Below are 12,640 nucleotides of genomic sequence, written 5' to 3'. Positions count from 1 at the left end.
TTACCTAAATCAATATCTCGAATTCCCATGTACAACTCAAGAACATCATCAATCTTTTCAATTGCCTTTGCTTTGGTTTCAGAAGGCTTTATCAAAAAAGAGAGAAATAAGATATTATACAACAAAATCTCTTGATTGTCAGGGCATACACAAGAGAAAGCCTGATGTGGAGCCGGTTCATAATTGTGTATTTCAGCTAATTTTAATGGAAATAGATCTAGAATGTGCTCTGTAACTAAATACAAATCAATACAGTAAATACTTATTTCTAGTGTCAGCACTAAGTGTTACGGATTCAAAAAAGAAAAGCCAGGAACACAATCCCCAAGTAGCTAACAATCTAGAAGAGGAAACAGATGTGAAAATAAATAACATGTAACAGTTTTTAAAGGATATAAAAGGCACAGAAGCATCACAGGGGAGGAAGCAAATTTATATCTCTAACAGTCATGGAAGACTTTAGAAAGAAGGTGACTTGGCTGAGCACAGTGGCTCACACCTGTAATCCCAGCACTTTGGAAGGCCACGGTGGGAGAGTTGCTTCAGCCTAGGAGTTCAAGACCAGCCCAGGCAACATGGTGAGACTCCATCTCTACAAAAAAAATTAATTAATTAATTAAAATAATTAGCTGGGTGTGGTAGCACATGCTTGTAATCCCAGACACTTGGGAGGCTGAAACAGGAGGATCACTTGAACCTGAGAGGTCTAGACAAGCCTGGGCAACATGGCAAGATTCTATCTCTACTAATTAATTAATTTAATTTAAAAGTAACCAGGTGTGGTGGTATGCACCTTTAGTCCCAGCCACTCAGGAGGCTAAAGTGGGAAGATCACTTGAGCCCAGGATGACGAGGCTGTAGTGAGCCATAATTCTGCCACTGCCCTCCAACCCGGCAACAGGACAAGACCCTGTCTCAGAGAAAAAGAAGGATGTCTTAAGAACTGTGGCGGGGTTTTTTTGTCTTGCTTTGTTTTGTTTTGTTTTGTTTGAGACAGAGTCTCATTCTGTTGCCCAGGCTGAAGTGCAGTGGTGTGATCTCAGCTCACTGCAACCTCTGCCTCCCAAGTAGCTGGGATTACAGGCGTGCGCCACCATGCCCAGCTAATTTTTTGTATTTTTTTAGTAGAGACGGGGTTTCACCATGTTGGCCAGGCTGGTCTCCAATTCCTGGACTCAAGTGATCCGCCCACCTCAGCCTCCTAAAGTGCTGGAATTACAGGCATGAGCCATCACGCCCAGCCAAGAACTGTGTTTTCAATGATGAAGAGGAGATAAGCAGGAGAGGACACTTCAAGTAGGATGCAATAGATAGGCAAAGTCTAAGTAAGGTCACAGAGTCATGTTAGAGGGATGCCAGAAGTCCCATGTAGCTGGAGAACACAGTGACAAATATGACTAGATCTTGAGGAGTCCTGTGTACCATGAAAAGGACTTTGGTCTTTATGGTGCAGGCCAGGGTCTCCAAACGTTTGATGGCTCATCCCAATAGTAAAACTTTTCTGAACAAATACCCTTATTGTGTATTTTTAACTTTATTGTATGTATTGCTTATCAATTACACATGTATTACCATATTAATATATTGTATAGATTATAAAAATACACCAAAAAAGGAAATTTTATAAGAATGAGATGATAAAATAATACTTTTTAAATCATTTTTGTGTTATGTATTAATGGTACCAAAACATTTTTGTTCTTCCCGAAATGATTACTAAACATTTCAGTAAAAATATTATTTTAAATTTTTGGTTTAATATTTGGTAAATTCTGCTCAGTTTATTTCAATACTTGGCTTTAAATGGCATCATAGCTGAAAATGGAATTGCCCAAAGATGTTAACTACTCAACTATACATGCAAATGTAGAATTCATTATTTAGATTATAAGAATTTCATGTTACTTTCAATACTGTTATAAATATATGTTGTTTTGTAGTCTCAAATTTTATTAAAATCATGCATTTTATAGCAAATAAAAATCTATTTCCTTGAAGATATTAATACAACTTTCTCACATTTTTATTTACAAGAACTAAACCTTAAAAACAATAACAGACAATATATTGCTCTTGCCTTCATTACAATGTATCTTGAATTGTCTGTATAAAGCAACAGGCTATGCAAATTAACAGGTATTAACCTTTATATCTATCCAGGCACGTTTTAAGTTACGGTGACAAGTGTCAGTACTCCTCATACCCAAATGGCCACCAATATTTTACCATTCTAATATTTCCTATTTGCTACGGAACAGATCTGGATCTATCACCTCTTCTCCATCCACATTCTGTTTGCCAGTGTTTAGTCCTCATCTTTTCTGATTTGCAGAGGTTTCCTATTTTGTCTCCCTGCCTTTGGTCTTCACCCTCTCAAATCCAAGCTGCTCAACAACCCATACCCTGGAACCAAGGGATTTTTCTAAAACACAAAACTGATTGTGTTACTCCCCTCATAATTCTTAAATGGCTCCCTCATTATCCACAAGGCCCTTCATATCCTAACCCCAGCCTATGCCTCTAGCCTCATCACCCCTACCTAACCAGTACTTCCAGCACCCCACACTCCAATCTCATGAACAGCTTACAGGTCCCCAAAACCCATTATTGTTCCATGCCTAGAACACTCTTCTTCCCCATTTTGAACTCACTCACTAATTTCTTCCGGAGAGAAACACTTCCTGACCCTTTTTTTTTTTTTTTTTTTGAGATGGAGTCTCACTCTGTCACCCAGGCTGGAGTGCAATGGCATAATCTCGGCTCGCTGCAACCTCCGCCTCCTGGGCTCAAGTGATTCTCCTGCCTCAGCCTCCCAAGTAGCTGGGATTACAGGTGCCCAGCACCATGCCCAGCTAATTTTTATGTTTTTAGTAGAGATGGGGTTTCATCACATTGGCCAGGCTAGTCTCGAACTCCTGACCTCAGGTAACCCACCCACATCAGTCTTCCAAAGTTCTGGGATTACAGGCGTGAGCTACTGCACCCAGCCTTCTGACCTCCTTTCTTTCCCCAATCCCTGTCAATGGCTGATCAGCCCCTTCTTTGTGACACTGTGTATCCTGCACCTGCTTCCATTAACCCTATCCCACTGGGTTGTAATAGCTTCTTTTCATGCTTCTCTCCTTTTAGAAGAGAAACAGGGTTTTTATTCTTCTTTGTATCACCAGCACTTAGACTGTGCCTGTCTCAGCAAGCACATATTGAATAAAGTATGAGGTTATGCAAGTGGAGAATTGATATGGTTTGGCTCTGTGTGCCCACCCAAATCCCATCTTGAATTGCAATCCCCACGTGTCAAGGGAGGGACCTGGTGGGAGGTGATTGCATCATGAGGTGGTTTCCCCCAGGCTGTTCTCGTGATAGTGAGGGAGTTCTCACAAGATCTCATGGTTTCAAAAGCGACAGTTTCTCCTGCACACTCACTCTCTCCTGCCACCATGTAAGACGTGCCTTGCTTCCCCTTCACCTTCTGCCATGACTGTAAGTTTCTTGAGGTCTCCCAGCCATGCGGAAATGTGAGTCAATTAAACCTCTTTACTTTATAAATTACCCAGTCTCAGGTATTCTTTACAGCAGTGTGAAAACGGACTAATACAGAGAATCTTACACCATTTTCAGAATTTGTGCTAGGTGATTAAAGGAGTGATTTGTTTTAAATCCCATAAGTCCTTTAAATTCTTAAAGTGTTTGAAATTAGATTTTATGTCATTTGTATCAAATTTAATATTAGCACCAAACAGCTTTTTCCTTTCATTATGAGCTATTTTTAATTGCCCTATTTTACTAAACAGACTATGAAAATAGGAATAGATTTTTAGATGTTTATCTTTGAATGAATCTTTCCTACCTCCCCAGGTAGATCTTAAGCTGCTCCTTTTCCATTCAGGCACCTTTGCCACAGCAGGTGCTTAACAAAGAGTGACGAATGATTTAACCCTTAGAAGATGCTCCTCCTCCTGAAGGGACGTGGCATTTTTCCTGCTGACCTGCTTCCTTTGTGAGCTGTTTAAAGGTCTGCTCATTTTTCCTCACAGCCTCCAGCAAAAGGCAGAGCTGACATTCTCCTGGCTCCTCACAGCCAGCAACTTCCCTCTGTTCTTCCCTTCTCTGATAAATTCCTTTCTTCCACTGAGATTTGCTTATTCATTCAATAAACACTTACTGGCCTTCAGCAATATACCAGGCAGTGTGCTGGGCCACAGAGGGAAAATAAAGGCTCCAAATGCCCAGAAGTCACTGCCCTGGGTTTCCTTCACATACCTCATCATATCTCCTTTTCAAAACACTTTTTGCTCTATCAGATCTCTTCGTTGCCATTTGCCTCTGATCGGTCCTTTCATTCTCCCAGAACCCACGCATTTGACTCAGGATCTTCCTCTAGATCCCCCCAAAACTGACAACACCGTGGGTGCCTCGACATTCCTAAGGACAGCCTTGGCCTCATGTGTTCCTTAAGTGTCTACTTCAACAAACCACCCCCATGACCAACCCTGGACCTTGTCACCCAACAAGTTCTGAGATCCCACTCTGTGAAACAGCCTCAAAACTGTTCATCTGTCTGTTTTTCCCTTCAAACACATAGGAACCCAGACAGCATTCACATACAGAGAGACCCTAGAAGGGCCCAGAGCCTTGCCCCTGCCCCCCCGAGCTCACAGGCATCAGTCACCTGCTCGACATCCCATCTGCCCACGGGAGGGCTTTGACCCCCATGCCTTTGCTGCTGTTGTGGGCCTGCTGCTTGCCACTTGGAATCCTTACCATCGCCACCCCAAACTTGCAGTTTTCTTCCTCCACCCTTCTTGCCTCTAGTTGTCACTTCTCCTTCTGGTGTTTTTCACTCAAACACTGACCTATATATAGACAAAGTCATTCAAAGGGAAAAATCCTTGCTTTTCTCAAACTAAAAGGAATCGTTTACTAATTCATTAATGCACCAAAGATTTCCATTCCTTTGGTATATCAGGTCCTATTCTAGGTGCTGGGGATGCAGCAGTGAACAAGACATGTGAGCAAAGGAGCTAGACAGTAGACAAAATTAATCAAAGATATAGAGTCCTAGTGTGTTTAGTGCTGATATGGTTTGGCTGTGTCCCCACCCAAATCTCATCTTGAATTGTAGCTCCCATAATCCCCACATGTTGTGGGAGGGACCCGGTGGGAGGTAACTGAATCATGGCGGCAGGTTTTTCCCATGCCGTTGTTCTCATGATAGTGAATAAGTCTCACAAGATCTGACGGTTTTATAAAGAGCAGTTCCCCTGTACATGCTTTCTTGCCTACTGCCATGTAAGACGTGCCTTTGCTCCTCATTCACCTTCCACCATGATTGTGAGGCCTCCCCAGACATGTGGAACTGTGAGTCCGTTAAACCTCTTTTTCTTTATAAATTACCCAGTCTCAAGTATGTCTTTATTAGCAGTGTGAAAACAGACTAATACAATTGCTTTGACAAAAATTAAGGACATGGAAGAGTGGGCAGTGGGAGGGGTGGAGGGAGTTGCTGTTTATACAGGATGCTCGGGAAAGGCCTTTGAGATAGATAATGTGTGGGCAGAAACCTAATGATGGCAAGGGAGCAAGCTATGCAGATAAATGGGCAAAACATTCAGGCAGAGACAACAGCAGTACTGAGAGCCTGAGATGGGGATACACCTGGAGTGTTTGGGAACAGCAAGGAGATCAGCATGACTGAAGCAGAGGAAGCCACGGCAAAGGGATGGGAAATGAGAACAGAGAAGAAATACGGAGTTCGGTCATGTTGGTCATTCTGAGGACTTTAGGTTTTATTCTGAGTGTCATGGGAAGCCACTGGAGGGTTGTGAACAGAAAAGTGACATAATTTCTCTTGCATATTTTAAGGATCATTCTGAGGGTTGTGCTGAGCACAGGTGGAAAGAAGGCAAGGGTGAACACAGGTGGACTAAACAGAAGGTGATTGCAAAATCCAGGATAAGATGATGGTGCCTTGGGGCACAGTGGTGGGCAGGGGTGGTAAGAAGTCATTGGACTCCAGTATCTTATAGAGGTAGATCCACTAGGATCTGCTGATGGAAGCGACATGGGACATGAACGAAAAGAGTCAAAGATGACTACAGGTGTTTTATGTGAGAAGAGGAGTTTACGAATATAATCTTTCATTATCAATATCTTCTTTTGTTTACTCCTACAGGTGGCTCTGAAACATTTTCTTGGTTCTCAGAGAGCTTTGGTTGACTTAAGTTTTTGAGAGAGTCCAGCTGTCTATAGAGTCTAGAAACGTCACCTACAGGTAACTGAGAATTTCTATAGATCACAATCTCTTCTCATGTCCTTAATTTCTATATTTCCTTTTTAAATACCTTCAGTAATTTCCAGATTGTTTAAATAGACAGTGAATTAAAAGTCCAAGTTTTGGTTAGAATGAATGGAATTTTATCTAACTCAACATTTCCAAGCAGAACAGGAAGTAAATGAACATAACATACCATTTCTTCCACGGTGGCAGGACCTTTTGATCTCAGGCGAAGTGTTGCCCTTCCACAACCAATTTTTTCTCCTGATGACTTTCCAGCCTTTGACCTCAGCTCTATTTCTACAATACAATGAACAGGGAAACATACATATACACAGAAAGCATCCCAACAGATTACTGTGAAGGCTAATGTAGTTTCTATCACAAAACTATATACAATTGTTATAGAAATTTGATAAAACGTAGGCCTTCTTATAGAATTTCCCGAAGCAAAATAAATGTACTTGTCATCCATTATTCTTATAAGAGAGTCTTTATGAGAGAGTTCTAACTCCAAGAAAAGGGAATATGTGAAATGTACAGATGGGAAAGACAAAGTTACAAGGAAGAAAAAACAGTAGGCTCTACAAAAAGAGTAAAGAGGAGTAAGTGGTTTCATCAAAGTCACAAAAAAAGGGAAAGAATCATGTCTTGAAAGAAGAGAGGTTTCTTCTCCCAATGGACCAATAGAAAAAGAAGAAACAAAAAAAAAATTTAAAGGAAAAAAAAGAGAGAAGAGAGGGACAAGAGCACTATTATTTGAGGATCTACCCTCTGTGTGATGCTTTACATTAAAAAATCCCATTTAATACTCATACCAACCTATGAGACCGGTGATTGCCCTCATTTTACTGATAAGGGAACTGAAGGCAGTAAGAAATGGGGCTGGGATTCAAAACGAGGTCTTGCAGATACAAACCAGATTTCAAAGTTCATATGCTTTCCTGAACAACGCTCCAGCCCACACCTCTTGAAAGCACAAGGGATAAAATCAGAGTTGACATACCAACAGAAATAGGGTCCAAAAGAAAAAGAGCCTGAAAGCAGGTTCCAAGGAAGGAATTCCCTGCAGACAGCAAGGACAAGAGCAGGGAGCAAGAGTTCACAGGGAGCCACTACTTTCCTTATGCTTGTTTTTTCTGTTGTGTCTTATCCTGCATTTGCAACAAACTAAGCGTCACCACCAAATATGTTACCAAGCAGTAACATAAATGAGTGAAAGGGAAGGGCGAAGAAAGAGGATAATTGGAAGAAATGTGCCCTATGTAGGCCCCACTCCAATAACTTATTGTGCTGTGGGAATATAAGCCCTGCATAGCCAGATCATCCACTTTTTTTTTTTTTTTTTTTTTTTTGGTAGGCCCCACTCCAATAACTTATTGTGCTGTGGGAATATAAGCCCTGCATAGCCAGATCATCCACTTTTTTTTTTTTTTTTTTTTTTTGCAATGAAACTGGAGACTCAGGCCAGAGCGATTACAGTAATCTCATGCCTGAATCTCAGCACTTTGAGAGACCAAAGCAGGCAGATCGCTTGAGCCCAAGAGTTCAAGACCAGCCTGGGCAACAGGGTGAAATTCCATCTCTGCTAAAAATACAAAAATTAACCAGGCATGGTGGCACGCACCTGTAGTCTCAGCTACTCAGGAGGTTGAGATGGGAGGATAGCTTGAGCTCAGGTGGTCAAGGCTGCAGTGAGCCATGATTGCAACACAGTGAGACCCTGTGAAAGAAAGAAAAGAAAAGAAAAGAGAGAGAGAGAAAGAAGGAAAGAAAGAGGATACTCAGAGTTTTGTGTGCATCTCCGGATTTTTAAATTTTTTAAGTTTGGACAATTAAATCAAACTTTTAAAAACAACATATTGGCAAAAACAAAAGAGATCTATGGGTCAGATTCCAACCACAGGATACTAATTTATAACCTCTGCAAATACCGTGCGCTTCCTTGACTGAGGACTCCACATGGCAGCAGTTCAGGGGAAGAGGCAGGTGGGGAGGGGATGCTGCACTGAAGTAGAGGTCTCCAACCTCCAGGGCCGCAGACTGGTACCAGCCCATGGCCTGTTAGAAACTGGGCCACACAGCATTACCTTACAGCCTGAGCTCTGCCTCCCTTCAGTTCAGCAGTGGCATGAGATTCTCACAGAAAATGAACCCTACTGTGAATTGTGCATGTGAGGGATCTAGGTTGTACATTCCTTATGAATCTAACTAATGCCTGATGATCTGAGGTGGAACAGTTTTATCCCAAAACCATTCTCTCCTGCCTGCCCCATCTGTGGAAAAAAATTGTCTTCCATGAAACCAGTACCTGGTGCCAAAAAGGTTGGGGACCCCTGCACTAAAGAACCGGAGACAACTGAGCACTCCAGAGAGGCATCACAGGACAGGCTGGTGAGTACCAGTAGGCAGTGAGGTCTGTGCAAAGCTCTCATGACACAGACATGAAGTGGCCTGCATTCTTACTTAGAACCTAGGCAATATGTCTTCTTTTGAGAAGTGTCTGTTCATATCCTTTGCCCACTTTTTCATGAGGTTGTTTTTTTCTTGTAAATTTGTTTATTTGTAGATTCTGCATATTAGCCCTTTGTCAGATGAGTAGATTGCAAAAACTTTCTCACCATGAGATACCATCTCACACCAGTTAGAATGGCAATCATTAAAAAGTCAGGAAACAGGTGCTGGAGAGGATGTGGAGAAATAGGAACACTTTTACACTGTTGGTGGGACTGTAAACTAGTTCAACCATTGTGGAAGACAGTGTGGCGATTCCTCAAGGATCTAGAACTAGAAATACCATTTGACCCAGCCATCCCATTACTGGGTATATACCCAAAGGATTATAAATCATGCTGCTATAAAGACACATGCACATGTATGTTTACTGCAGCACTATTCACAATAGCAAAGACTTGGAACCAACCCAAATGTCCATCAATGATAGACTGGGTTAAGAAAATGTGGCACATATACACCATGGAATACTATGCAGCCATAAAAACTGATGAGTTCATGTCCTTTGTAGGGACATGGATGAAGCTGGAAACCATCATTCTCAGCAAACTAGCGTAAGGACAGAAAACCAAACACTGCATGTTCTCATTCATAGGTGGGAATTGAACAATGAGAACACTTGGACACAGGAAGGGGAACATCACACACCGGGGCCTGTTGTGGAGTGGGGGGAGGCGGGAGGGATAGCATTAGGAGATATACCTAATGTAAATGACGAGTTAATGGGTGCAGCACACCAACATGGCACATGTATACATATGTAACAAACCTGCACGTTGTTCACATGTACCCTAGAACTTAAAGTATAATAATAATTGAAAAAAAGAACCTAGGTGATATGGTTTGGCTCTGTGTTCCCACCCAAATCTCATCTTGAATGGTTATCCCCATAATCCCCACATGTGGAGGGAGAGACCAGGTGGGAGGTGATTGGATCAGAGGGATGGTTTCTCCCATGCTGTTCTCATGATAGTGAATCAGTTCTCATGAAATCTGATGGTTTTGTAAAGCAGTTTTCCCTGCTCTTGCATGCTCTCTTTCGTCTGTTGCCATATAAGACATGCCTGCTTTCCCTTCCGCCATGATTTTAAGTTTCCTGAGGCCTCCCCAGCCATGTGGAACTATGAATCAATTAAACCTCTTTTCTTTATAAATTACCCAGTCTCAGGTATGTCTTTATAGCAGTGTGAGAACAGACTAATAAACCAGGATAATTCCCATCTTCAGCCAAGTACTGTTTTGCTATTAGGAATCTATGCCAAAGTGATTAAGGAGTTTGCATATTAATTTTGCATATTAATTTTGACCTATATTCAGGAACAGAATCACCAAAACATAAAACATAAGTCTTCCTCTGAGAATACAATTATTAAAAATTAGCATGTAATTAGTACACTAGCCCCGCCTAACCAAAAACCTATAAATGGTGGCTGATGATTTGGGAAACATCCAAATGCTAATCCAGGTGACCCAACATTCACAGGAGACCAGAGCTGTATCAGCAAGCCTACAGTATTGGCCTTGCCAGTTATAGTATGTCCTGTGTGAGGGAAGAAAGAATTATCATGCACTCAGCATAGAGTTTCAAAAAGAGTATCCAAAGAAAAAGATTAAGTTGACCTATCATCAGCACTGTCCAGGATTCCGTACTGCCTAGCAATGTAAGTATCCCCAGCCCAGAGTCATGTATATCCCTAAAGTGGTGAAGATAGCTTCGTCTTAATGGTAGTAACCTTAAGACATGCAACCTCCTTCCCCGACCCTACTGCAATTTCACCAAGCAACCTACTTGGTATGGTTTGTCTGCCCATATAAATTTCCTGCAGGGTGAAAAATGAACTTCTCATCTACCACATGTGCTTTGGTTTACCATTGATTACACATTTCTAATTGTAAAATAATATATTGCCAATCTGACTTTTCAAAAAGTGTCTCTTGTAAGTTTGGTGAGCATGATATAGCCCTGAAAAACTGAACAACTCTACATACATTGAAAAAAAAATAAAAATAAAAAGGTTTCTGGGACTTACAAAGCTAAGGACCCAGCCTCTGGAGTGTGGGGCTTCATAAAGGTTGTATCATCCCTGCCCAAGAAGTCAGCTGGCCTCTCTACATGACGTTTCTATCTTATCTTGCTCTTACCTGCAACACTGGTAGCCAGAAGGGAAAATGTATGTAGCATAGAAGACTTTTCATTAATAAATCTTTTTTGATAGAGCAGTTTTAGGTTCAGAGCAAAACTGAGCAGAAAGTACAGAAGGTTTCCATATGCTCCCTATCCCCACCACACAGGCACAGCCTCTCCCATTATCAACCTCCAACACCAGAGTAAGACTTTTGCTACAACTGATGAACCTACATTGACACATCATAATCACCCAATGTCCATAGTTTAGAGTTCACTCTTGGTGTTACACATTCTATGAATTTGAATAAATGTATATTATAATATATATCCACCATTGTAGCATTATACAAAATGGTGTTACTGCCCTAAAAATCCTCTGAGCTCCTCCTATACATCCCAGATTTTTTTTTTTTATCATTATGTATTTGCCAAGCCATCTCAAAGCTAACCACTTGGTGGCACCAAAGCAAAAGTTAAATTTTAAATTCTGGCTTGGACCAGCCTCCAGAGGGCAGTTTTCACCTCTAAGGAAACAGAAGCCGTGTTTGTCTATGAGCCTATGATCCAGGTACATAAATCAATCTGTTTATAGACAAAAACAAGCAGGATGGTCCTGTTCATCCACAGGGGAAAAAACAGGTTTTGTGTTTTTGAAATGTTTTGGAGACCACATATATTTATAGCCTGGCCTACTTTTGGGGTGCTGGCCTGTCTAAGCACGTCTGGCCAACCAGGCCAAGCCCTAAATCAGTCACTTCACATGAACGGATCTGCACAAGGCTTCTCTTGGGGCTGAGCTATGACAGGGATGCAGTGGATACAGTAGGCACTGGTAACCAGCCTGCACCTGCAGCTAGCTAGCTGACTCGCTAGATGCACCAGGGCTCCCAGTTGAGTGTACTGGCCGTCCGCCTGTCATACGTCACTTAGGGCACAGGAATGCACGGCTTGTGGGTGCCTAACCGCTCCCACAGTGGAGTTGCACATAGCCTAGAAGCAATCAGGTTTGTTCCCAGACCTTTTTGTGGCAATTGTATCTGTTACTCTAATTATGTGCTTTGATTTAAAAGTACATGAGCTGATGAAATGAGTGTAAAACAAGGAGTTATTAATGCTATGAAAACTAGGTTGATGGTTGACTGCCTTGGATAGACTCCATAAGAATGAGTTGCAAAAAAAAAAAAAAATAGGTATGGGCAAGATGACTCTAGGAGATTAGAAAAAATATTTTTGGCTGGGTTCAGTGGCTCACACCTGTAATCTCAACACATTAGCAGGCCAAGGCGGGAGGATCACTTGACCTCAGAAGTTCAGGACCAGCCTGGGCAACAGAGCAAGACCCTGTCTCTATTAGAAATTTTAGGCTGGGTGCCATGGCTCACGCCTCTAATCCCAGCGTTTTGAGAGGCCAAGGGTGGCGGATCACTTGAGCCCAGGAATTCGAGACCAGCCTAGGCAATATGGTGAAACTCCATCTCTACAAAAAAATACAAAAATTAGCCAGACAGGGTAGCATGTACCTGTAGTCCCAGCTACTCAGGAGGCTGAAGCAGGAGGATTGCTTGAGCCCAGGACATCAAGGCTGCAGTAAGCTGTGATCACGCCACTGTACTTCAGCCTGGGTGACAGAACAAGACCTTGTCTCAAAAAAAGAAAAGAAAAACAAAATATTTCATCAGCCAGGCATGATGGGACATGCCTGTAGTCCAAGCTACTCAGGAGAC

General features: G+C 41.9%; 1 protein-coding gene across 3 annotated transcripts in view; it reads right to left on the bottom strand.

Moving 5' to 3' along the window:
* Positions 1–12,640, bottom strand: part of GIPC2 (GIPC PDZ domain containing family member 2) — a 93,475-nt gene that overhangs the window by 12,478 nt on the left and 68,357 nt on the right. For all 3 annotated transcript variants that reach the window (NM_001304725.2, XM_047423230.1, NM_017655.6), the window contains exons 4-5: positions 6,468–6,574; positions 5–86 (exon numbers count right to left, since the gene is read on the bottom strand). In NM_001304725.2, the coding sequence (NP_001291654.1) occupies positions 5–86; positions 6,468–6,574 (189 nt within the window). The remainder of the gene's footprint in view (positions 1–4; positions 87–6,467; positions 6,575–12,640) is intronic.

This window comes from Homo sapiens, chromosome 1 (assembly GCF_000001405.40).
Source record: "Homo sapiens chromosome 1, GRCh38.p14 Primary Assembly".
Classification (NCBI taxonomy): Eukaryota; Metazoa; Chordata; class Mammalia; order Primates; family Hominidae; genus Homo; species Homo sapiens.
The sequence above is the reverse complement of the archived record's forward strand: the minus strand, read 5'-3'. Positions and strand labels throughout refer to the sequence as shown.